This window comes from Homo sapiens, chromosome 6 (genome assembly GCF_000001405.40).
Source record: "Homo sapiens chromosome 6, GRCh38.p14 Primary Assembly".
Classification (NCBI taxonomy): Eukaryota; Metazoa; Chordata; class Mammalia; order Primates; family Hominidae; genus Homo; species Homo sapiens.
The window spans coordinates 100,850,845-100,878,460 of record NC_000006.12 but is presented as its reverse complement, the minus strand read 5'-3'; the positions used below and the strand labels follow the sequence as shown (position 1 = coordinate 100,878,460).

The following is a 27,616-nucleotide window of genomic DNA, read 5'->3' as shown; positions in this document are numbered from 1 at the left end:
GACATTTAAAGGAAAAGCCTTCCTTACCCTGTGCTAAAAGTAAAATTAACACAACTTTGGGGGGGAATATTCTGAATATAAAGACTAATCTGCTTTATAGTTATGAGCCTGTCCAGGATTTTTTTCCCCCACCTTTGAATGGGAAACCTAGTTAGAGGATAAGTTAGAGAATAAGAGCCCCATAGAAATTTGGTTGTTTTTAACCATTATATATTTTGTATTGTGTGAAAAGTGTTTATGTGTTTTATTATTTTTGTCATGCTTTCTCTGTTCTGCATGCTTCAGATGTGTTTCCTAACTTGATTGAGAACTATTCAGGAGCAATTGCTTCTTGCTTAAGAATGAGTTAGCATCTAAAGTGAACTTGTTAGGTGGAAACTGTGAATAGCTAAGATTACCTTTGAGAATCCCTTAAAAGGACATCAAGTTGGCATAACATGCTGTCTCTCAGCATGTCCTACACAGCCATGTTTTTCATCCTGACTTGGAATGTATCACAGTTTCTTTAGATGAACTCCCAGTGAAAAAGTTGCTCTGTGTTTGGTCACCACCTTGTATGTTTTTTAAAAAAAGAGAAAAAGTGTTAAAAACTAGAATCATGCAATGCAGCAAGATGCTCACATTTTGAGATGCATGTGGTGATTGAAACAGACTAAAAGAGCAAGATTCTTGTTGCCCATCCCCCATTCACTCTGGAGCAGATATTCAATACCTGAAATGGTAAGCAGAATCTCTAGTAATTATTGTTTTTGTCTGTCTCTGCCTTCCTTTTTTTGGCCTACAGTGTTTGGTAGATTCAAGAAAGTTAAATGTGCCTAGACTCTGCTGTATGAACCAATTGATGGTAATAAGGTTTAATACAAGTAAGAAATTAAATTATCTTTAGGATTTATCATGAAAAAATCACCCCCTTTTGAAATCGCATAATGGAGGATTATAAATATGTGTCGACGATGGTTATTTTCTGAGTTCTGATCTTGCTAATGTTAACAATATCACAACTCAATTTTTAAAAAAGGCACAATAAAATATAAATATTCTTATTCACTGTTTAATATTTATTCACTGTTCATTTTTCAAGGTGTGGTTTGTGGGTACAAGATTCTATTTTAAGTACTGAAATCTTAAATTCTAATTTTACTCCATTTACAACCTACTCCTTCATGTCAGTGTTTTTATCCCTTAATCTGCAGTATATCACTTTGACTATTTTTGTCCCTTTAATAATTCCCTAGTATCCATAATTGCCAGTAACTAAGTGCTGACTTTAAACTTATTAGGAAATATAGTTTGGCTGTTTTGGAGATCTTTTCATATTTTTATAACGAAAAAATACAGTAACTATCTTTTCCTAAAGTTGCTATCAAGCAGTCAGACCATCTTTAGAGTTTAGAAACACAGGTTTGGTTTAAGAAGAATAAACATTACAATTTTAAATGTAGTACTTCAGAATAGTGTGTACTGGAATTCTAGCTCACTGATTATTGGTTAATATCATCTTGCAAAAGGAAATATGCTACCATCAGTTTAGTTTTCTCCTTATTTGGAATGTAAAAAAGGACAGTTACATTTTTAAGACTTTCTTTTTACCTGTACGTATGTTTAATTAACAATTTAAAGATTTGTTCAGATAGCCACAGCCAGTACTTCTGACGAACAGAAGTAGGCTTTTAGGGTTTCAATCCTTTAGAAATTATATTTGTTCTGGGGCATTAAATATTTATTATTAACAGAATTTTTCATTTATATATTTGTCATTTAGTGGACCATATTAAATGTGGAGTAAAAATTAGTAAGGTAAAAATTGATATGTAGGCCAGTTTTTCTTAATCCTTATTCACTGTGATCTTACCAGAAATTTTAACTATGAATGTTATGATTCATCTTTAAGACCTCCTAGTTGAACATCTTTTCCTTTCATCTAGGCCTAAAGTTAAGCACTTAATAACCCTTATCATTTAGGCTTCATTGTCCCACTGCCTCTGTGTTACAAAACCTTAACCCTGGTTCACACCAACCTTTGTTCCTATGCCAGATTATTGCCACCTTAAATTGTTTGCAGTATGAGCTGAGCATTCATTGCTACCTGAAAAATATTTCTTCTATTATTGTGGGTGGTAAGTTCAGACTTTTGCCTCTGTGTTAGAAAAAATCCCACCTCATCACCTGTTTGAACAGTCTTAGCATATCTCAAATAAAATCAGAGTCATTTTGGTGGAACTCCCTTTTACCATGTTTTTCTCTCCTCATTCACCCTCTGCTTAACCATGTTATAACCATATGCACTTCCACTCATCCTTCCTTCCGTACTCCTTCATCTATCCAAGTCTCTCTAGACCTATGCTTTTGTTGTCATTCTCGCCTGCATTCTCAGAGACCCTACTCCATCAGTCACAGTCTTTCTCCTGATTGCTCAACTTTTCCTTCTCTCTTTGCTCTCCCCTGATTATGATAAAATCATGATCAACTCTATCCTTTATTTTCAGAAACTCTTAAACCACATTATTTCAGTATTTCCTACTTTTTCTCCTTTTCTTTCTCATTTTCTTGAAAGAATAGCATGTACCCATTTGTAGGGTTTTTTGTTTGTTTGTTTGTTTTTTCCCTATTTTCTCCCTTTGCGTTTATCCTTCAACTCACTGAGATTTAGCTTCTACCATTTTTGGAAACTAGGTGTGCTAGTCATCTAGGACCGCAGAGTGGCTGAGTACAGTGGACTGTATCATGTCATTTGAAACTTTCTTTTCTGTTGTCATATCACTTTTCCATATGACAACTGATTTGTGGATCACTTTCTTAGAACTCTGTTCTTAACTCTCTACTGTCTACTTCCAAGAGGCCTTTAGGGGTGGAGTGCATGAATGGGCATTCATGCAGCTTTTGAAATGGAGTACAAAATGTTGTTTATATGTATGTATGTCTGTTTTCTTAGGAAGAGGGTCCATGGGCTTATGTATATTTGACTTAGACAATATTATGTTCATCCATGGTTTTAACTATGATGAAGTGATAACATGAAATTCTGGATTTCCAGCCCAGACCTCTGATAGGAAATCCAAAACCATATGCCCCACTTGATAGCCCATAATTAAAGTTTTCCAAAACAGAATTATCATTCCTCTTCCTGATGCCCTCTATACATATAGACTCCTCCACTCTTCAACATTTCCTAAGCCAGAAATTTGAGTGTCCTGCTCCTTTCTCCTTCTTTAAATCCTATTCCACATTGATTCTGTCTTCCAAGTATACTGATCTCCTAAATCCATCCTTTTATGTGTTTCCCTGGCTTAATTCTATCCTCTCTGTCTTTCAGTTGGTTTATTGAAATAACTTCCCAACTGGTTTGCCTGTGTCCTGTTTGACCCCACCTTGACAGTTCACCACATGTAAATCTGAGTAATTTTTCTGTAACATGTTAGTATTTTTTCAGTGATTCTGATTATCAGAATGAAAAGTGCCTAATTTGAGACATGTTGTTTGGTCTCTGCTTACATTTTTAGGTCTTATTTCATCAGTTTCCAAATGCACATTCTGTAGGGGTTTTAAAAGTAATTAAGTCTGTTATTTTGGCTTTCCCCCTCATAGTTTACCTCTTGTAATAACCTTGTCTAGGTCCTTTAAGTCTCAGCTCAAGCTCAGCTTCCTTCTTTATATCTAGTGCCCTCCCACCCCTTTAGATGCTCCTTCCCTGTCTTCCTACAGTTATAGCTGCATAATTATTGCAACTATTTTTCTTTCTTCCCAACCATACTGTAAGCTCATCATTGAGGGCAAGTGCAATCATATCAAAATGTTTTTCTTTTTTTAATCTCTAGAGCCTCATAAAATATCTAATATATGGTGGGTGATCTATAAATATTTGCTTAGTGAATGAATAACATAATATTTAAAATTTGTTTTCTCAATTTGACCTTTATACATTTCAAATAAAACTTAAAGGGAATCTTTTTCCTGGTACAAAATACAATGAGTTGTTTTTTTTTTTTTTTTTTTTTTGAGACAGAGTCTTGCTCTGTTGCCAGGCTGGAATGCAATGGTGCGATCTCTGCTCACTGCAACCTCTGCCTCCCGGGTTGAAGTGATTCTCCTGCCTCAGCCTCCTTAGTAGCTGGGACTACAGGTGCGCACCACCACGCCCAACTAATTTCTGTATTTTTAGTAGAGACGGGGTTTCACCATGTTGGCCAGGATGGTCTCAATCTCTTGACCTCGTGATCCGCCTGCCTCGGCCTCCCAAAGTGCTGGGATTACAGGTGTGAGCCACCGCGCCCAGCCTAAAATGCAATGAGTTTTGAAGAACTGTAAACTTCATTAACATCCAGTGCCTAGCCCAGATCCTAGTAGATAGGAGAAACTCAAATATTTGTGTATAAATGATTTATAGGTAACAATGAACTAATGAGCTGTTACATTTTTAGTGTTGCTCATTCAACCTGGGGAAGAAAACACATCAAATAAAAATAGCAAATCTGGTAATGTGCTTTGCTTCATTCCCTTAACAAGCATAATTTCATGCTGATTATTTTGATAAGATCTCAGGGAGCTTTACTTGATGTGTTTCCAGGATTTGTTTCAAGATTTAGAGCTCTTTTTAGCAGTTTTTGTAGTGCTGGCTTGGTAGTGGCGTGTTCTGAGCATTTGTTTGCCTAAAAAGACTGTACCATCCCTTCATTTATGAAGCTTAGTTTTGCTGGATACTAAATTCTTGGCTGATAATTGTTTTGTTTAAGGAGGCTGAAGATAGGGCTCCAATCCCTTCTAGCTTGTAGAGTTTCTGCTGAGAAATCTGCTGTTAATGTGATAGGTTTTCCTTTATAAGGTTACCTGGTGCTTCTGCCTCACAGCTCATAAGATTCCTTCCTTCATATTAACTTTAGATAACCTGATGACAGTGTGCCTAGGCGATGATCTTTTTGTGATGAATTTCCCAGGTGTTCTTTGAATGTCTTGTATTTGATTGTCTAGGTCTCTAGCAAGGCTGGGAGAGTTTTCTTAGATTATTCCCCCAAATATGTTTTCCAAACGTTTAGATTTCTCTTCTTCCTCAGGAACGCTGACTATTCTTAGGTTTGGTAATTTAACATAATCCCAGACCTCTTGGGGGCTTTGTTCATATTTTCTTATTCTTTTTTATTTGCCTTTGTTGGATTGGGTTAATTAGAAAACCTTGTCTTCGAGCTCTGAAGATCTGCTTGTTCAATTTTATTGCTGAGACTTTCCAGAGGATTTTGCATTTCTATAAATGTGTCCATTGTTTCCTGAAGTTTCGTTTCTTATTTATGTTGTCTATGTCACTGAAGATTTCTCCCTTCATTTATTGTTTATTTAAATTTCCATAAATTGGGCTTTGCCTTTCTCTGGTGCTTCCTTGATTAGCTTAATAACTGGCCTTCTGAATTCTTTTTCAGGTAAATCAGGGATTTCTTCTTGGTTTGGATCCATTGTTGGTGAGCTACTGTGATTTTTTGGGGGGGGTGTTAAAGAACCATGTTTTGTCATATTACCAGTGTTAGGTTTCTGGTTCTTCTCATTTGGGTAGGGTCTGTCAGAGAGAAGGTCTAGGACTCAAGGCTGTTGTTCAGATTATTTTGTCCCACGGGGTGTTCCCTTGATGATATTCTCCCCCTTTTCCTAGGGATATGGCTTCCTGAGAGCCAAGCTATAGTGATTGTTGTCTCTCTTCTGGATCTAGCCACTCAGCAGGTCTACCAGGCTTTGGGCTGGTACTGGGGGTTGTCTACACAGAGACCTGTGATGTGAACCGTCTGTGGGTCTCTCAGTCATGGATACCAGCACAGTATTTGGGGTATATCCTGGGCCCTGCAGGAGCAATCTGCTTCCTTCAGAAGGTCTGTGGGTTCTCTTGGCTTTCCTGATTTATTCCTGCCGTCATTCTGGAGCAAGAGTTTACAATGCAAGACTCCACACGGTGCTCTGTCAGAGTGGGAGCTGCAGTCTAGTCCTGCCTCCCGTCTGCCATGATCCCCCCCCGACCCTTTTTTTTTTCTACTCAGGTCTCAGGGAGCTTTAAAGTTTTCAGTTACTGTAGTTTGTAACAATGTGACCTCATTACCGAATCCTAATATTAGATCTCTTCTTAGAGGTTGAGTGTATTATCTTGTTAGGATTTGCTAGGTTTGTGAGTTAGAATAAAAATGAAGTCTTGCTTTCTACTTTTTAAAAAAGAAAGGCACAGAGGATTCAGGACATTACTGTGATGTATATAAAAATGGTGAAAGTAGTGGTCCCAAGTACCCCATTAATTTGTAAGACCATGCCAGAGGCACAGTATTAATACATCATGTTTCTTGTTCTGATGCTACATTTTGAAAGCACTAACTTGTGTGGTAAAAGGTAGGTTCTAGGTTCTGAGGCAGAGTATGTTTAGTTTACTATCAGAGCCTTTCTTTAAAGACTTGACTAAATTTAGTTATCTTGAATACATTTTTGCAGTGTCTCAGTGTGGGTAGAAAATAAAAACCCCAATGCTTTGGCATCCATTGTATACCTTACTTCCTCTCTATGGATGACATGTACAGTGTACATACATACTGTGTACTGTGTACAAACATACTGTGTACTGTGTACAATTCTTGGGAGAATTGAGAAAAAGTCAAGTCACTTTCAATAAAAGAGTTGTATTCTCTTACAGACCCCCATTGAGAAAGGCTGGTAGGAGCCAGGCTATGCACTGAATTCAGGCCATGGATTTCTGTCACCCAGGCTGACTGCAGTGGCATGATCATGGCTTACTGCAGCCTTGACCTTCCGGGCTCAAGCAATTCTCCCACCTCAGCCTCCTGAGTAGCTGGGACTACAGGTGCATGCCACTTGCCTGGCTTTTTAAAATTTTTTTGTAGAGTTGGGGGTCTCACTGTGTTGCCCAGGCTGGTCTCAAACTCCTGGCCTCAAGCAGTCCACCTGGCTTGGCCCCAAAGTGCTGGGATTACAGGTGTGAACCACTGTGCCTGGCCCCCAGTCCATGGATTTCTTAATAGATGAATTTCTTCCTTGGCCATTATTGGCTTGAGACAAAATTAAGCGGTGATTTAAGAATAAAAGACATTGGCTAGGCATGGTGGCTCACACCTGTAATCCCAGCACTTTAGGAGGCCGAGGCGGGCGGATCACGAGGTCAGGAGTTTGAAGCCAGGCTGACCAACATGGGGAAGCCCCATCTCTGCTAAAAATACCAAAATTAGCCGGGCGTGGTGGTGCGTACCTGTAATCCCAGCTACTCGGGAGGCTGAGGCAGGAGAATTGCTTGAATCTGGGAGGTGGAGGTTGCAGTGAGCCGAGATCACGCCACTGCACTCCAGCCTTGTCAACAAAGTGAGACTCCGTCTCAAAAGAAAAAAAAAAAAGAATAAAAGACATCATCTCTAAGACAGTGGTTCTCAACTACGATCCTTGACCTACTGCATCATCTGCAAAGTTGTTGGAAATGTAAATTTTCAAACCTCATCTCAGTGCCATCTGATCTGCTGAATTGGAATATTGGGGTGAAGAGAGTAAGGTGGTAGGGCTCAGCCAGTTTGTTTTTCAAGAAGCCCTGCAGGTAGTTTCAATATATAATAAAGTTTGAGAATCTCTGCTCTGTGCTGTCCACTGACTCTTGCTTTCATTTTTTTCTTCCAAATGCTCCAGGAAGTATGTTATCTAGTGTTAGAAAAATCCAGATGTGATTCCCTGAATCATCTTATTTCCATGCTCTCCTGAATTCACTCCCAACAGGTAGTTGAAATCTGAAGTCAGCTAACTTAGAAGTTTATTTGTAAGTTGGATCATTTGACTTCTCTGTTTAAAATTCTCCAATGTGATGTAGAGAGTCCAACTGTTTTTTCCCCAGCTGTCCTCATACCAGTTCTTTACTGATTTGCAGTGCAATCATGTTTGTTTTTAATACCTCATTTTTTTGTTTTTGATTTGTAATAAATATTTTGCTCAAAGAATGTGACCTCTATCAGGGATCAGTAAACAGATTTGGTCACCCTGAGCCCCAGAATGGGTTTTACACTTCTAAAGTGTCATTTTTAAAAAAAGGAATGAATGTATGGCAGAGACTGCGCTTGCCAAACCTAATTTTTTTTTTTTTTTGAGACGGACTCTCACTCTGTCACCCTAGCTGGAGTGCAGTGGGGCCATCTTGGCTCACTGCTACCTCTGCCTCCCAGGTTCAAGCGATTCTCATGCATCAGCCTCCTGACGCATGAGAAAAAATGCATTAAAAAATGCATTAAAAATGCATTTTTAAAAATATGCATTTTTTAAAATCAAGTTCAGGTTTCTATATTTGTTCATTAAATCAGACTTAGTAATTGTACTCTTCAGGTTCTCTATATCTTTATTGATTTTTTATTTTGGAGGGAAGATTGGCTTGACCTGACAATAATTGAAGTATTTAAACTTTTACTTTGATGTTAGACTTGTCACTTTCTCCTTGAGGTCTGTTTGTTTTATTTTGAGACTATCCTAGCAGTGCATACAAATTCAGAACTTTTAAGTCTTCTTAGTGAGCTTTATCTTATATTATTATGTAGAGAGGTTTTTTTTAATCCCTTCCTAATACCTTTTGTTTTGAAGCCAATTTTGTCTGATCTGATATTTTTGATAGAGCCACCAGCTACGTTTGGTTGTTTGCAGGAAGATCTTATCCTATCCTTTCAGCCTTTCCTTTCCTATGTTTTCAGTGTAGCACTAGTGTTTTACTTTTTTGTTATTTTGCAGTTCATCCTGTCAATCTTTTGAGAGGTAAGTTTAATTTGTATTTATTATGATTATTGATATATTTCAATTTGTTTTTATTTATCCTGCATTATCTATACTTAGTCTGTGACAGCATGCATGGGTTATTTCTTCAAGTCTTTTCCAGGTTATCACTTTTATTTTTAGCTGTTGCTTAACCCATCTGTTGATTGTTTTAAAATTTAACAAGTATATATTTTTATTTCTAAAAGTTGTATTTTCAAATCATCCTACTTGTATTTTATTATTCATTATTAAAAAATTTCTATTATAGTTGTTATAGATAGATATTTTGTATCTGATTATTCTAATATATAGGTCATAGATTTTTCCAAGTATTACCCTTTTTGATAACTTCAGGAATACAGTAGTCAAGAGGAACAGCAGGAGCAGAGAATAGTCTGAGACATTCTGTATGTCTCCCCTTTCCCAGTTCTTTCCTTCCCACGTTGGACATTTTGGTGTAGATAATTCTTAGTTGTTGGGGAGCTGTCCTCTGCATTTTATGTTTAGTAGCATCATTGGCCTCTATCCAGTAGAAATCAGTAGTCCCCTTCCACCTCCCTGATAGTTGTGACACCCAAAATATCTAAAATATTGCCAGATGTCCCATGTGGGGCAAAATCATTCCTAGCTGGGATGTTTTAAAGACTTACATAGCTTATGTGACATTCTTCAGGGAGCCGTGCCTTATAGATCTGTAGATAGTAGTTGTGTTATAATAAGCAATCTTAAACTAGTACAGTCCTCCAAGAGTCTTTCATAGATCAGGGCTCTCCTAATAGTAAATATTATTAATCTTTTTGCCTGGAAATTGTTTAGTCATCAGCCTGTTAAGGAGGAGATTAGACCAGGCCATCTGAATTCTCTCTTTCCCGGTATGTTCTTCCCCCTCATCAGCTGTTTTCTTTTCTGGCCTGTTGTCCAGTCTGTTACCATTTTTGCCTTTTCTTCATTTATCTTCCATTTATTCATTAACAGATACTTATTGAGTACCAAAAATATTCTGGTTCTGTTGTCTATTTGCTGGGGAGATTAGTAAAATAGAGATCTTTCTGTCATGAAGCTTACTTTTTGTGGGTTGAAACAACACATACGTTAGTAAATAAACAAGAAAGTGTCAAATATTACTTAGTGCTATAAAAAGAATTAAAATTTTGGGCTTTGATAGACAGCGACTGGGTCGCCTGTTTTAGATGGGGTGGTCAGGAAAGGCTGCATCTTAGGAGGCATCTTTTAAGCCAAGAGTTCAGTGTGAAGCCAGCTATACGAACATCAAGGGAAACCATTCCAAGCAGAGGAAACCACTGGAAAGTGGTGTAATTTGAAATCAGTGAGCATAAAACAAAATTAGGGAAAAAGATGAACAGGTGGTTTCATCTCTTTAAATATTATTGGCAGTAGTAATATAGTATTTGATGCCTGTACTTGGGAATCTACAGAACCCAATTTTGAGGAAATGTTTGTTTCTTTTTCCTTTCTCCAACCATAGCTAATGCTTTTTAAAAACAAAAAAACTTCATGGATAGAAAATATGTCAGGAGAATTTTTCAACGTTGATAACAATTGCTTTTTAACCAATTTTTTCCTTTTTTCTCTTGTACAAGCTAATTTGTTGAGTTTGATTACCTCTGCCACCTCTTCCGAACAGATAAATATCATCTTGTTTTGTTTCAGTTTCAGGTTTCTTGCTGTATGGATCACTGATTGAATAATAGATGGCTTTACCTCGTCTCACAGGAGCCTTGCGTTCCTTTTCAAATGTCACCAAGCAAGATAATTATAATGAAGAAGTGGCTGACTTAAAGGTAGATTTGTTAAAGGTAGAAATGTTGAACATTATTATAAACACAGACTATGGACAACTATTTGACATTCTTTTTCTCCATTCTATGTGGTTAACATGGAAGTTTTATCTTGTTTGGTGTGAGGCAAAGATGGAGAATGTGTATGCTGCTGTTTACTATGGTAATACTTACGTTTAGCATCTAAAACCATATTGTCAAGGGGAATAATCAGAACTATGATAATTGAATCCTTTGTTAATTTTTTTTTTGTTCAGCTCCCTACCACAGTTACGTTTGTAACTTAATCCTGTAATTTACCTCTGGATTATCTGAGTAAGTTTTTTTACCAGTGGTCTCTGGTAAAATTTACCAGTAGGTCTCTGGTAAAATTCTTATCAAATGAACAAAAGCAGTGTCTGTACCTTATGAGAAATATGAATATTAATCTCTTGAACTCAGAGGCTGATCTCATAATTGATTTGTCATTATAATTGGTAAGAAAGGCATTTAAGACTTAAGAAACATTGTTATTTTAAAAGCTACTTTGTGACTAAAACTTCAGAAATACATTTTAGTAAGAAACAAAAATTAAATGTACATGGACTGCTTTGACATTTATAGTAAAGACTGACCCCTGCTTTAGTAATTATGGTATGGAAAAGTTTCCTTATATGAGTTAATATTATAATAAATAATGCTAATGTTACCCTTCCTACAAATACAGGTAAATCTCACTAGGTCAAAAATGGGCAATTATCACTTTGGAAGATCATTTTTGTTTTATCGAAGGAACTTCTTCAGTGTCTTTCCTGTATAGGTTCAATGACTACATTTTCTGAATCACAAATTAGGGCATGACGTTTGGCAAGTAATTTCTTCTGATGGATAAACTTATATAAGTCTTAAAAAGGTATAAAATAAATTACATATGCAGTTACAAGTTTTAATATTATGGAAAAATTAAAAGCATATGATATCAAGACTTCCAGAAAATTCTAGACATGTACTTATAAGATACTTAAAGGAAAGATTCTTAGAAATGTCTCTGAATGTGGTATATTAGTTTGCACAGAATAACAAAATACCACAGATTAGGTGGCTTAAACAACAAAGATTTATTTTCTCATAGTTCTGTAGCTAGAAGTCCAAGATCAAGGTGTTGGCAGGCTTGGTTTCTTCTGAGGCTTCTCTGTGTGGCTTGCAAGTAAGGCAGCCTTCCTGCTGTGTCCTCACATGATTTGTCCTCTGTACAAGCACATCCCTGGTGTCTTTTTATGTGTCTAAATTTTGTTACAAGATCCATCAGATAATTAAGTCCCACTCTAAGGGCTTTAACTTAATCACCCCCTTTAAGGCCCGATTTTCAAAGATAGTCACATTCTGAGGTACTGAAGGTTAGGGAATCCACATATGAATTTTGAGGGTATATATGCAGCCAATAACGTACGGATTCTGATCAATTAGTAGATGTGATGATTTCACTACTGTGATGAATGAATGAACTTGTAATCTTTAAATTACTGTGGTTTCTTCCTGAATGTGATTTTGAAGTACATAAATCTTCTGTTTCAAAAGGCACAAGAAACAAAAGAGTAAAAGCTGTAGCCATTCATGTCATTTGAATGTATTTTGGACATCTTTGAAATTATTTATCTCTAGGGCCAGGCGCTGTGGCTCACGCCTGTAATCCCAGCACTTTGGAAGGCCTAGGCGGGTGGATCACTTGAGGTCATGACTTCGTGACCAGCCTGGCCAACATGGTGAAACCCCATCTCTACTAAAAGTACAAAAATCAGCCACGCATGGTGGTGGGCGCCTGTAATCCCAGCTACTCAGGAGGCTGAGGCAGGAGAATTGCTTGAACCTGGAAGACAGAGGTTTCAGTGAGCTGAGATTGTGCCACTGGACTCCAGCCTGGGTGACAGAGCGAGACTCCATCTCAAAAATAAATAAATAAATAAATAAATAAATAAATGAAATTATTTATCTCTAGGTTGCTGAAACTTGCACAAAATATAATAACAGGTTTCATATAAATGTCACAGGGAAAGGGCAAATGTTTTAGAAGCTTAGCCATAATGTTGTGAATTTTATAGGCCTGAAGCTCTATCAATTGAACATACGAAGAAATGAACCATGTAATATAGTATATGAAGTAACTGGCCCTTTTTTTTGAAAAACATCATTCACTTTAATTGCTGACTCATTTGAATCTATTGTAGAATGATAACATTGTTTCCTAGTAGATTAGAATTTTATTGCTAAAAGTCCTTATGCAGTTTTATAACTAATAGTTTCACTCAAAGATTGATACCGGGAAGGAGTTTTGTAACAGGTTTGTGATAGATTTTTTTTTCTCTAATGATACAAAATTTGGTTAGATACAAAACAGTTAACCTTCTTTTCAATAGTAGCTGTTTTACATTGTTCACAGCAGTTAAAACAAGAGTATATTAATATTGCTATCTTAAACCTGAATTATTTCCTCTCTTCACCTCCCCAAGGCCCTTTGCAAGTTACTCTGTATTAGAGATATAACAGAAGATTTTAAAATTTAAAAGTGTGTAAGTACTACAAGCTTATCCCATCTTATTAATTCCTATAAACTTTTAAACATTTTTTTCTTCCCTGAGGAAGGAAAGTGGTATAATGATGAGCTTCATTTTAATATAACTTTTTATGTCAGAAGCTGTTCAACATATACAAAAGTAAAGAGACAAATAAGATAAACCTTAATATGCTTACGACTCCATTGTAACAACTTAATTCATTTTATGGCCAATCTTATTTCATCTCTACCTTTGCCCATTCTCCTCCCCCTAAACTCAGATTGACTAGTCACATTTGAAATTAAAAAATGGAGGCAGGGAAGTAATGGTGAATTATGTATTTTCATCATTCTAACCAATAGCAAAATTACTGCTTTCTACCTGACCCACTACTTTTTCATTTGGTTTGAAAGCTTCATGAGTTTTCTCTATGGATCAAAGCCAGAGGTCTGAAATAAAATTTTTATTGTGTTCTGTGGTCAGTTCTTGAGAGTGGAAAGATTTGTAGTCTCAAATATACAAAAGCCTCAGAAGAACCCAAACCTGCCAACACCTTGATCTTGAACTTGTAGCTCCAGAACTGTGAGAAAATAAATTTCTCTTGTTTAAGCCACCTAATAGAAAAGAGTGTGTATAGAAAAGAATCTTCCAAATGCCTCACCTGGTCTAGGATCATGGTTAAGAAAGTAATGCTGACTTGAATATATTTGAACCTGTCATGGGAGTCTAATTTTCCATAAATGCGTTTCATTAAAAAGCATGACATAAAGCTCTTATTTATATACACTATAGTCTAAGCTATATTAAAAACAAGCAGTTAGAAAAATGGCAAGATGTGTGATGTTATCAGTAACAATAATAATATTGTTATCTGGATGTTGAACTTTTTACTTTGCTGTATGAAATGATTTTATGAGTATGCAGTGTAATTAAAACTGTAAAAAGAAGCTTTTATTAAACATATCTTTTCAACGAATGAGAATCTATGAACACCCATTTAAGTAAAATTGTTTTGTGAGTAGTCAGTTTGGATGTGAATAGATACAACTTTGAATTCTTGTGGGTAGTACCAAGTTGTATAATGTAATGCAAAATATATGTAATCAGCGTTGGAGTTGAGAAGAACTTTAAGCAGTACTTTTCTACATTATAATCTCTGTTTCAGATAAAGCGATCTAAACTTCATGAACAAGTTTTAGATTTGGGCCTGACATGGAAGAAGATAATAAAATTTTTGAATGAAAAACTGGAGAAGAGTAAAATGCAAAGTATAAATGAAGACTTAAAAGATATATTACATGCTGCAAAGCAGATAGGTATAGTTTTCTTTTTTTCTTTTTTTTTTTTAAAGAGAACCAGTAAGGTTCAAAAACAGATTCCTTGTAAACAACATACTATGTAAAGGAAAGCTAAAATTTCCTGGCATCTAAGTATTCATAATTATGAAAGACAGTCCTGGCCAGGCGCGGTGGCTCATGCATGTAACCCCAGCACCTTGGGAGGTCGAGGCAGGCAGATCGCTTGAGTCCAGGAGTTCGAGACCAGCCTGGGCAACATGGCAAAACCCTGTCTCTACTAAAAATACAAATAAAATAAACTAGCTAGGTGTGGTGGTGTGCACTTGTAGTCCCAGCTACTCTGGAGGCTGATGTGGGAAAATTACCTGAGCCTGGGAGGTTGAGGCTGTGGTGAGCCAAGATCATGCCACTGCACTTCAGTCTGGGCAACTCGAGTGAGACCCTGTCTCGAACAGAAAAAAAAAGACAGTCCGTATCTATCAGCGAGCTTCGGATAGAGAGTGACAGGCTGGGGATAGGCAGAAGTAAATTAGTAATTATAATACTATCTAGCATGAAGGATTTGTAGGAATTCAGTGTTTGAAAACCACTGTCTTGATTAAAATAAGGATAAAGTAAATTAAAATTTTAATGTAGCTCTAAGGAAGCTTAAAAGCTATGTAGCTCAGTCGCTTATTATAGATGCCCACCTAGTACACAGTGAATAACAGCACTTAAACTAGACTTTGACTGCTTCACTTCCCTTCCTACACTAATATTCTTATCAATTGATTATATTTGAAGGAAAATGTAATTTGAAATTACAATATTGTATACGAACTCAGGTTACTTTCCTAAGGCTAAAAATCAAACTAAATGAAACAAATGACTGGTAAAACCCCTGTGTTTGTACATTGAAATTCATCATATTGCAAATTCTGATAACTAAAAAGCATAATTAACACTATTATAGTTCTAGATTTTCCAAATTTAGCAGGTTTGCAACTATAAAATGTCCATACACCTATTCTGGTCTTGCATGATCTGGCCTTCCCCTCTGTCTGACCTCACTTCATTCTTGCCTTCATTACTGTGTCAAACACGTCTGTCTTCAACTTCCTCAAACCTACCAGGCTAGTACCTGATTTGGGTCTTCACACATGCTGCTCTCTGTGTTGGGAATGCTCTGTTCTAATCTTAATGATGGTAGATCCCTTTTTGTCATTTTAAACTCAGCTAAAAAATTACTTCCTTAATGAGGTCTTTTTGCCAGTAAGTTGTTACCCAATCACTCTTTATCTTATAATCATTCATAACATTTTCTCCATAACATGTATTATTGTCTGACATTTTACTTGTTTATTATCACTCTGATGTAAGTTTCATGAGAATAGGATCTTATTCTTGTTAAACTCTCCATCGCCAGTGCTTATACTAGAACCCACAATATTTTAGGGTCTTAATAAAAATTCATTTGTTAAATAAATGAAAAAACTGTTCTCAGGTGATTCCTTGGTAGAGAGAGAATTTGGATCCTTACCTTACCATATGCTTGCTGGTTGGCAATTTTATTCCATGTACCAGCTCTGGATTGTGTTTCTGTTACGTCTCATAGACTTGAAAACTTTTTATGATCATCAAATCTATAAATTTTTTTTTCCAAATATGTTAACTTTTTAAAATATGTCATTTAACTATCATTGGTCTGTAACCCAGTATGATATTTAATTGAATGTCCTCATTGTTTTAAGTTGTGAAAGTATAAAATGTCTCATGTTTGTACAGTTAGATCTTCCGAAGTTCAAGGACATTAGTAAAAATTGAGTTTGCTTAAGCCTAGGGGCAATATAACACACTTTGATGAGGTTTGTAATGGCATTTGGCATAGAATTAGACTTTATATTTTAAGAATACAGAGGCAGGTTGTTTGAAAAGTAGTGGCGAAAATACAGTCTTCCACATCACCTTGACTAGGATCTTAACCCTCCTGGTCTTCATCACATCTTCATTTGTAAGATGTTGAGGCCTCCAGAATCTGACTAAAGTACTTTTCAAAAACTATACAGAGTGTCCTTCCTCTTCTTTAGTTCTATTATAAAAATGCCTCTAAATACTGAGCAAAAATGTAATGACATATTGAGCTTATTCAATACCATGACTAAGTTTATTTCTTTACATAAATAAGGTGGAATTTAAGATTTAAAAAAAGAAAACCCTTTAGATTGCTTTCTCTGGCTATCTCTGGCCACAAGTCAAAAAAGATTGTTTTAAATACCAGTCATTAAATATAATTCTGGGGATTGTACCTGTGGTGAAGTAAATATCTGATTCATACTTAGGGACTGATCACCTGGCCCATGCGTTTAAGGGATTATTTTGAGATTAATGTCTCAAAAGAATATTTCTCAGACAAATAAAATCTTAAGTTGGATGTAGGCAAATTCTAAATCTTTTATACCCATTTTTAAATGCTGTGCTTCAGTTGAATAACTATTAGGTTTAGTGAAACTTAAGTTGAGTAGTAGTCAGCTGTCCCTTCTGGATGAAAATGCTGATACTGGAAATGTAATTAAAGCTACCAGCTTTGAAAGGATTAGTCTCATGTGGAAAATGTCCCTGTCATTTCTCTTATATTTATCTTCTATCATAGACAATTTTGCTATAATTGTATTAAAAAGGTTAAGCAAGAGAATAAAGAAAAAAATATTTCACTTGAGTATAATATTATGAGACACTTAAGGCTATGCGTATTGTTTAATCTGGACAATTGACATTAAGCTGGAGGAAATATCAGAGGACATCTTGTCTAATGTCTTCATTTTGTATGTGAAGAAACAGGGCCCATTAAAGTTAAGTGAATCCTGTGGTTTGTATGTGTTGAAAGTAGGCCTAGATCTAAATTCTGAAATAGAAGTATGGTAGAAATCCTAGATTTTTAGCTTTCCTTTCCTTGTAGTTAGAGGTCATATCCTAGTAAGTCTACTTTTCAGCTGTTCTTAAATTTACTCTGTATATTTACCATTGCCCCATTTCAGCCTTTTACCACCTCCTGTCTGAACTACTTCAGTAGTCGTTTGCTTTAGCCTTCCTTTCTCATCCACCTTCTTCACTGTCACTGGACTGATCTTTGTCAAAGGCAAAGCTCATTTTTATTCCCAGCTTACCTTTTAGATCAGATTCTTTAGAATGATACATAAAACTCCTTTATGAGTTGACACGATTTACTTTTTTATCTCTTTGCCATTGAATCACATGCAACCTTTATGCCAACATATGCAGTGTTTACTGTCTGAATTTCCTGAATAGTGCGTACTGCTTTTCCTCTCTCTTTTATGTGTTAAAATAACTTTCCCCATTGTGTCCTGTTATACATACTTATTTAGAGTACTTGTTTCATAATTATTTTCCTGTCTTCTCCCTTCACAGTAGTGAAGTCTCTGATAGACTGTGAATGCTTTAATGAAACAGGTATTACAGGAATCAGAGCATCTTTCTACTCCATTGCCTAATATGCTGCTAGGGATCCAGTAGATGTTCAATAAACAAATGAAGTATAGAGAATCCAACTCAAAGTTCTCTGTGGTCTTCACTACCTGTAATGCTGACGATGTCTTACAAGTGGCAGTTTCTCTCTTTTTTGTTATTTTTAAGTATTCCTCCTCTCACCCCCAACCCCACAATTTACATGTGGTATATTCCCATACCTTTTTACAATTTGATTCTTCCCTTAAGATTATTTTAATAATAAAATTTAGTTTTATGGAGAAAATATATAAATTATTTAAAAATAGTATTCTTGGTCCTTAATCTTAGTGTATTCAAATACTCATTGTAGGCATAGCTGTCTCCTTCATGACTGTTGAAGGATACAGTCTACATTCTGTTGGCAATGAAACTTTGTCAGTATATTTTATGTGCTCTAAGTATAAACTTTTTAAAATAAAGAAGTCAAGACTGAGACTAGTAATCAGTAAAATGCATTATGTATTAGGCATATATCTGTTACTTAAGAATTTAAATTATTTCATGAGGCCAGTAAGATTTGCACAGTGCAGACAGAAACTAAGATGGGGGCCAAGAGTAGTGGACAAGTGGGTAGAAAGACCTTACCATTCCCTAATCAGCTCTCTAACTGTCAAACTGAATATCTCTTCAAGAGCTAGAACAGAATGTTTGAAGTTGTCCCAGAGTGCATTGATCTAATGATTTTACTATAGTATGGATGCAAATCAAGACTCAGCCAGAAATGAACTAGTTTATTTCACTATTCAACTTGTCATAAAAAGACCTGTTTGTTTTGCTTTTTCTAATTTATAAGCCCTGATTTATATGAGTTTTGACTTTTTTATGCATCTTACCTTTAATAACTTCATCTTTAAGAAAACTATGAATCAAAAGGTAGGTTGGACAGGAGTGGCTTACAAAGTATGGTTTAAGGCATTTGTAAATCCATTGTAGTTTGTGAGTTATCAAGGAAGTAAGATTTTGCTGTTAAAAAATGAGGAATCAAAATCTAGGGTGGAAAGCCATTTATAAAGCAATGACTGGAATAGGAAGTATAAAAAGATAGTAGCAGAATCTGGCAATTTTGTGTGTGGACATAATGGTAGATATTTAGAATTCTAAAGGCCTGTTAAAGGGATATAGCAGTATTTGTGACAGTTATTTTGAAAATTGCAGATTGCAAAAGAGTTCAAAGAGTTTTACTTCCCACAAAGTGGCAGACAGGGTAATGTGGAACAACCCTCTACAGAGAATACCTAGAAAAACTGCAAAATACAAAATTTGTTTGACTATATCAGAGAAGTTATCAAAGCAGTGAAGATTTTTGGGGCCAAGATGTGGAAGCAGAAATTAACCCAGAAAATGTGATCCTGGCATTTGGGCTACTTTTTCCTAGAAGTGAATTGTCCATTCCAGAAGAGGAGGCTGGATGGAAAAGAGGAGGATGAGAAGATGAGCAGAGCTTCTGACAGATTCAGAGGACTAAGATGACAAAAATGACTAAAATGGACAAAAGAAGAAATAGAAAATCTGAATATTTGACTATTAAAGGAATTTAATCTGTAATTAAAAACCTTAAGTACAAAGAAATCTATATGCTATGATGGCTTTAATGGAGAATGTCATAATGTCATTTAAAAAGGTATGAGAGTACTATTGTAGATTAAAAGAGGTTAAAGGCATATAATAATCAAAATGTAATGTATGATCCTTGATTGACTCTTGAATCAGAAAAAAATTACGTATTTTTGGGGCCGTTGGAGAAATCTGAATATGGGCTGGACATCATTAGGTAATATTAGATCTCAGGTGTGATAATGTTGTGGCTATGTAAGAGGATATCCTAAATCTCAGGAGAAGCATACTGCAGTATATATAGTGGTATCTCATGAAGATTAAAATGTACTGTCAAATGTGTCAGCAAAAGAAATACACATGATGTGTGTGTGTGATCAAGTGTTTATAATGAGTGGATTAATAAATATGAGAAGATAGGGTGATTTGTTGTAAAGTAATAAAGGTTTAAAAATTACATGATTCAGTAGAGAAAAAGCATTTTATGAATATCTAACATTACTTATGATAAAAAATCTCAGCAAACTAGGAATAGAAGGGGATTTTGTTAATCTGATAAGCTGTAGCTATAAAAAACTTGGAGAAAACATACTTAATGCTACAAAGTTAGAAGCTTCCCTGAGGTACGGAATTAGACACAAATGCCTGTTACCACTTCTGTTTCTCACTGTATTAAAAATCCTTGCTAACATAATATGGCAAGAAAAAGTAAGGGCATAAAGACTGGAAAAAAAAACTTTTCCATTTTTCACATGACTGTACCTGTAGAAAATGAATTTAACAAGGTTAATATAAAAATCAATTTTATTTCTACTTACTAGAAGCACATTAAAAATTACACTTATCTTTATGTAACGTAATACATTTTACCTTAAATTTTAAAATTTTAATTTATTTTACGTTTACAAAAGCATCATAAACATCAAATACGTAGGAGTAAATTTAACAAAAAATAAGCAAGACTTCATGGAAAACTAAAATATTGAGAGAATTTAAAGAAGATCTAAATAAACAGAGGGATATACCAAGAATTGGAAGACTCACTATTATAATGATATATTTTTTACCCAAATTGATCTGTAGATTCAGTGCTATCCCAGGCACAGTCTTATGTTTGAGGGTGTGTGTGTGTGTGTGTGTGTATGTGTGCATGTGTGTGTGTGGAAATTGACAAGGGTAATATGAAAGTTATATGGAAATTCAAAGGCAAAGAGCAGCCTGGTTAACTTTGAAAAATAAAAAGGGAGAACTTACTCTAGTAGATCTTAAAACTTATTATAAAGATAAGTATACAGTGTGGTGTTGGTCCAAGAATAGGCAAATGGACTAGTATGACAGAATATAGCCCAGAAACAAACCTACGGATAGAAATATACTTGATTTATAATGAAGGCCAAACAATAGTGAGACAAGGCTATTTTTTCAGTATATGGTGCTGGGTCAACTGCATATACAGATGAAAAAAAGTACCTATTTTACAAATAATTTTAAACAGCCTACAGAATTAAGCATGATACACAAAACAATACATCTTCTAAAAGATGTAAAAGAGTGTCTTCAGGATCTTTGTATGTGCGAAAATTTATCAAACAGAGAACAAAAAGTACAAAGGGAATGATTAAGTTGGACTGTAGTAAAATTAATACCTTCTATTTATTAAGAGTAAAAAGGCAAAACATGGAGTGGGAGAATATAGCTTCAAGATATATAACCAAAAAGAGAGCTTTTATCCAGGTTAAATACGAGCTCCTACAAATCAATAAGGAAAGGACAGATAATCCTATATGAACATGAGTAAGAGCTTTGAACAAGGACTTCACAAGAGATAGTTGACCAGTAAACATGAAAAGGGCTTCAGCTTCATTGGTAGTCAAGGATATGCCACTGCATGCCCATTAGAATGGTTAAAATGTAAAAGACTGACATACCTATTGTTAGGATCAAGAATGTGAACTAGAATTTTTGTCTACTGCTGCTAGAGTTTACAATTGGTACAACCACTTTGAGTAACTGTTTGACAGTGTCTACTATTACCTACTGTGGTTGGACAAGTGAAATTTTAAATCTTAGGACATAAATATCCAATAAAAATGCTTGTACATACATGTATATCAAAAATAGGTGCATTCATTGCAACATTATTTGTGATAGCCTTAATGTAGAAACAACCCAGTTCATTGTTAAAAAGCTTAAGTTGTAGTATGTAGACTGCCTTATAGCAGTAACGGATTACAGCTATGTATAACATTGTAAGTGAATCTTATAATGTTGACAAAAGAAGCCATACAACACATATTATGATTCCATTAATATGAAACTGAAAACTAGGCATGACCAGTCTCTGGTTTTAGAAGTCAGGATAGTGGCTGCTTTTGAGGAAGGAGGTAGTGACTAGGAGTGAATATGAGGGAGGTTTCTGGGGAGCTGATAATGTTCTGATTCTTGAAGTAGTTAACCAGATTACACAGGTGTGTTCGTTTTTTGATAATTCTTTGAACTGTATGTGTACTGTATATTTTCTTGTTATATTCAATAAAAAGAATTACTATGATTTTTATATTACATAGATTAAATAAGAAGTATTTCAGATTGATAAGTAACACATGCTTGTGTATTTATTTAGCTTAAGGTTTGGCTATCATGGTGAGAACTCCTATGTACCCTGCTCAGGTCCTGGTAAACAGTATCATAAGTATAATAAATTGGTGTTTTTCATTCTCATGCCTATTTTTATATTTGTGTTACCTATTTATACATCCATAAATATATGTATTAGGAATACATTCAGCTCAAATATCAAAACCTATTGTGATAAAGCCACCAAGTGGGTTAATTTGTTTCATCTGACAAGTTCCCTATGTAGGTCAGCAGCTTGATAATGGTAGGGCTCAAGTCTGTGCTAATGATTTGGCCTTTTCTTCACATTTGTTGCCTTTTATTCACCAGATATCTGCTCCACATCTAGGCATTATATCTGTGTACTTGATGCAACTATATTTCTTGTACTGTCTTTATTTGCTTTTCAGATTCCTAACTTTTTTATAGTTTGGGATAATTTCAAAGTATCAGTTAATATATGTGGGTACAAATTCAGTTCTGTCAGTTACTAGTGGGTAGCTAATTAATATCACTAAACCTCTTTTCTCTTCTATAATATGGTTATAACAGTTCTCACCCTCTGTAGTTGTTGTGATGTTAAGTAGTAGTATAAAGTGCCTAGGGTTAAACTGATAAGTGGCTGTCAATTAATAATTTTATTATAACTTAGATGTGCTAATAACCATTAGTAAACAAATAGTTGCTTCTATGGGTTAAATGTTATGACAGATGTAATGTGTCCAGTGATGTACTGGTTCAAAGAGCAGGAAACTGCTTAGGTAAGTCAGGAAAGAATTCATAGAGAAGGTAACATTGGACAGCATTATATTGTGTTTTGAATGTTTCAAAGACAGAGGTGTTATATTTATGTCCATTTTACAAGAGAAATTTTAAAAAGCTGGATAACTTTATAAAAATCAAGAGTACTTTGCAAATGTATCAGCTGTGTAAATAGGTAATTCAGATTACCTGGGAATATAGCTAAACAATTGTAAACAGAATGGATACTGGCTGGGTACAGTGGCTTACGCCTGTAATCCCAGAATTTTGGGAGGCCAAGGCGGGTGGATTGCTTGAGCTCAGGAGTTTGAGACTAGCCTGGACAACATGGTGAAACCCCATCTCTACAAAAAATACAAAAACAATTAGCCAGGCATGGTAGTGCACGTCTGTAGTCCCAGCTACTCGGGAGGCTGAGTTTGGAGGATGGCTTGAGTCCAGGAGGCAGAGGCTGCAGTGAGCCAAGATTGTGCCACTGCACTCCAGACTGGGTGACAGAGTCAGACCCTGTCTCTAAAAAAGAAAAAAAAAAAAAGGTTCTTGACAATTTGCTTTAGTTTATTAGTAGATTAGTTTTCATTAACAAATTATGATTCCTTAAATATAAGAAAATTTAAAACTGCATTCCTTAGTAGAGGCATTTTAAAAGTGATACTTTTAAATAGTATTACGAGTATAATATTAATAAGCATCTGATATATGGATGCAATACTGAAGTGTTGCACTGAAGTGAAAATAATCTTTTTTGTTTGTTTTTCCTTGGATGTTAAAACAATCTAAAATGGAAGTTAAATCTCAGTGAGCTATATGATTTGTTTTAATTTCCTTAGTGATGCTCAAAATGATGGTTTTATTATAGGAAGCTTTTATATGAAGTCTAATTCAAACTTTTATGTTAGCTATTTGGTTGCTTGGGAAGTTACATTGTAATTTGATGCAGGATTTTATACTACTGGAAAGGTAATATAGTGGCTGGTTGCTGCCTTAAAGTTGCAAGTTGAGTATTCACATTTTGTAACGAATGTACATAAAATTAAATGGCTGTTTCTAAAACATAGGGAAATGCCTTGAACTATTTTTAATCTTTTGTACTACTACTATTTTTTTCTAACAAATATCTTTGTTTGCTTTCCTTTATTTGTTCATCCCAAAGGCAACAGTTTTTATGTAAATGTAGTAATAATTTTAACATTTAAGTAACTCCTTCAAATTACTATATTGAACATTTCTTGAATACTTTCCCTGTTTAATGCAAGGTATTGCTAAAGGTGCTTTCATGCACGGAAAGAGTTTATACTCTAAAATACATGAGGCTTATTATACTAAATTACATTACTTAGGCAATTTTAAAATTATATCACAGAAATTGTTCATTTTATTCCCCCAAAAGCCACATGGAAAATGCCTACCTCTGTTATGTCAAAAGTTTGATAATTTTGTGATCATTTGAAAGATGGTTTAATACTCTCCCCCTCAAAAAAAAAAAAAAAAGTACCTGGCTTGTTCTTGTAGCATCAGTATGTTATGTAATCTGTTTGTATCTGAGTTTTTCTGTAAAATTGAGGAAAATATTAGCAAGATTCATGAGACTAGTTTAGATATTGTACTTGTTTAATAATTACACTAATGGGAAATGAACAGGAATATATAGAGGGAAAAATTATGGGGACATGGTATATTTTATATTCAAGTTGAATCATTTTTGTATTTTGTTAAATAATGTACTTTGTTGTATCTAATGTTGTAGGTAAGGTCCTGTATTTTACATATTTGTAAAAGAAAACATCATCATACTTGCCAGATTCAAAAAAATCAGCTAATCTCTGAGGATTTAACAGGTCAGGGAACTCATTTGTTGACAACTTCTAAATTGAATACTTATTGGCTGGGTACAGTGGCTCACGCCTGTAATCCCAGCCCTTTAGGAGGCCAAGATAGGTGGATCACCCGAACTCAGGAGTTTGAGACCAGCCTGGGCCACATTGTGAAATGACTCTACAAAAAAATTTAAAAATTAGCTAGGCATAGTGGCGTGTGCCTGTACTCCCAGCTACTCAGGAGGCTGAGACTGGAGAATCACTTGAGCCCAGGAGGCGAAGGTTGCAGGGAGCCCAGATTGTGCCACTGCACTCCAGTCTGGGTGACAGAGCAAGACTCCGTCTCAAAACTGCACTCCAACCTGGGTGACAGAGCAAGACTCCGTCTCAAAAAAAAAAAAAAAAAAAGGAATATTTATCAATTATGGATGCAAGTGATTGATATTTTAATTCAATCTTTAATTAAAATTTTCTACTCATCCTTTTTCCAGGATTCCTCAACTATTAAAGTAGGCTACAGAAAAAAGTGACAACTTACAACCACTTAATTCTTAATATTTTGAATCAAAAGAAAACAGACGTAGATTGTGTGTTGAGGATGATTGACAATTGTAACCATTTAACTCTTTGATTTTAAAAAATTATTTTATAATCTTATAGTAACAATCTACCAAATATATCATTTTATATGGTAAGGTTCTATATAAGGTTTTTTAAGTTTGAAAATTATTTATAATAAAAGCGCACCAGTCAGCCAGCCAAGTTGAGTTCTGATCATGCTCTGCTACTTAATGGTGATTTTTGGCAAGCCTCTTTCACTTTTGACTTTTTTTTTTTTAATTCTGGGAAGTGCCTTATAGTTTACTATGCATTTCACATCCCATTTCCTCTCAATATAACTGCAAAGTAGGGTGAGTATTTCTTCTTAATAAAAGTATTGTAGGGACCTTCTAAGTGCATCCTTTTAAATATATTACAGTTGAAGTGCCAGGTGGGTAGAGCCAGTTTTCCGGTTTACAGCTTATGTTATTCAGTGTTTTATGGATACAAAGTTAGATACCCAAGTATGTAGGTTTCTAGAGTACCTTCTTTAAAAGTTTGGAGTTCTTAAGTTTTATATCAAGTCTTATATAAACTTTTCGTCAGTTGATTAGTGTATCAATTTATCTGTGGCCAAATCTAAACTTAAAATCCTGATTCCTCTTTGAAAGGTGACCACAGTGAGTGATATGAAGCAGACAGAAAAAGCTTTAAGAATTGGGTGCAAATGTTAACTTAACCAAAGATCATAAACCTAATCGTTTTTATTATTAAATTACATATAGAATATAAAGGGAAGTGAACAAAAGGCTATTTCGGAACAGGATTCTCACAGTTAATGTAACATGTTCAATTTTGGATTTAGTGTCAGAAAACAAGAACATGACTAACACCTTTCTACTTTAGAAGTGTACCACACGCGTTGTCCAAAGCCGTTCCATCTCCCCCTTCTGATGTGGCCAATTGGGTGGTGGTTCAGCCGGCTAATAGAGGTTCGCTTAGTGTTTCCCTTCCAATTACATTTTTGTTGAGGGTAAGTTGGGCCTTGGATAGCTTTGGCTAATTAGACAACTGACTGCATCGTTTTCTTCAGATACTTTGTCTACATTTTACAAACTTTTCATACATTTTAGTCACCCAAAAAACACTGAGTGGGCTGTACCAGCAAGCTGTGGTGCATCCTTTGCGGCCCCAGCACCTGGGGTCCTTCGTCTGCTCCAATCTGATCAGGGCTCTCATCTGGGCAGCGTGCTAACAGCCAGTCTCTTACGCCTACATACGTCATCTCATGCGGACAGTGTGCTGGAAAGCATGTCGGTGCCTCTTAGGGAAGACAAGCCGGGGTGGTTGCCCCTTAGGGAAGACAAGCCGGGGTGGTTGCAGGAAGATGGTGAAAGTGGAAGTTACCATCTGATGTTTTAGCGCCCTGAAAAAGTTCATTGTTTTCAGAATGCCGTAGTCATTATTTCTGTTGTGTAGTCATCCATGTTAACAAATAGTGTTGGCTGGTGGAACTCCCAGAACCGTAAGGCATATAGAGATTCTCTGTTGAAAAACTGTTCTGTGGTATGAACACGTGTCCATTTCACATAGGTTGTGCAGGAGAGTTAGTAATTAGGGTAGAGTATTAACATTTATGAAACACCACAACCCAGCAAGGTTTAAATTTTTTTAAGTATTTGTGATTTTTGAAATTATAGATTTAAGTTAATGGTTATTAAAAATTTGACACTCCAAAAAAGTTGATCTTTGTTGATGTTTCTGTGAGTCTACAATTATTTTCTCTTCAAACATGGGCTTATAGCTTTTTTACCCACTATTAATGGACTTTTTAAAGGCAAGATATATAAATCTGCTGCACTATATTTAGTGAATGTATATGGCTATATCAGAATTCAACCAGTAACCTAATAATGGATATTTAAGTTAATTACACTTTTACATTAGATAATAAGGCTGTTCTTCCACTATTTGATTTCTTAAGGTGACCTATTTATTTTTAAAATTTATTTTGTAAACAAGAATTAGAAATAAGTCTACTGTCTAGGAATTTACAGGGAATCAGTGTGACATAGGGGAAATAACTTGTTTAGGAGTTAGAAGACTAATGTTAATCTTGTTTAATGATGTAATAGCTGTTTGATCTTTCCCTAATTACTCAAATTCTGTTTCCATTTAACATCTATAAAATGGAGATACTTTTGTTAGGACAAAGTGAGATAATTATGTGAAAGTTTTTAGTAAATTATTATTTTTAAAAAAATCCCAAGATGCAAAGTGTTAGCAATACTATCTTTACAAAAAATGTGTATTTACAATGGTAGATAATGTTTGTAAATGTGAATTCCATTTTTGCTCAGACTTTAGTATCAGTTCTATCAACCCCTTTAAATTATCTGTAGAAGTACCATAATCCCCAAATTATCCAAATCCTGTTTTACAAG

The 27,616-nt window shown here is 35.2% G+C and overlaps 1 protein-coding gene across 6 annotated transcripts in view; it reads left to right on the top strand.

The window, feature by feature from the left end:
* ASCC3 (activating signal cointegrator 1 complex subunit 3) overlaps nt 1-27,616 on the top strand; it is a 373,136-nt gene that overhangs the window by 2,869 nt on the left and 342,651 nt on the right. For 2 of the 6 annotated variants that reach the window (NM_006828.4, NM_001284271.2), the window contains exons 2-3: nt 10,423-10,553; nt 14,247-14,397. In NM_006828.4, coding sequence (NP_006819.2) covers nt 10,464-10,553; nt 14,247-14,397 — 241 coding nt within the window. In that variant the 5' untranslated portion in view covers nt 10,423-10,463. Of the gene's footprint in view, nt 1-10,422; nt 10,569-14,246; nt 14,398-19,258; nt 22,159-27,616 lie in introns of those variants that run through there. The other 4 variants (NM_022091.5, XM_011535394.4, XM_047418108.1 and 1 more) reach the window with 4 other exon arrangements.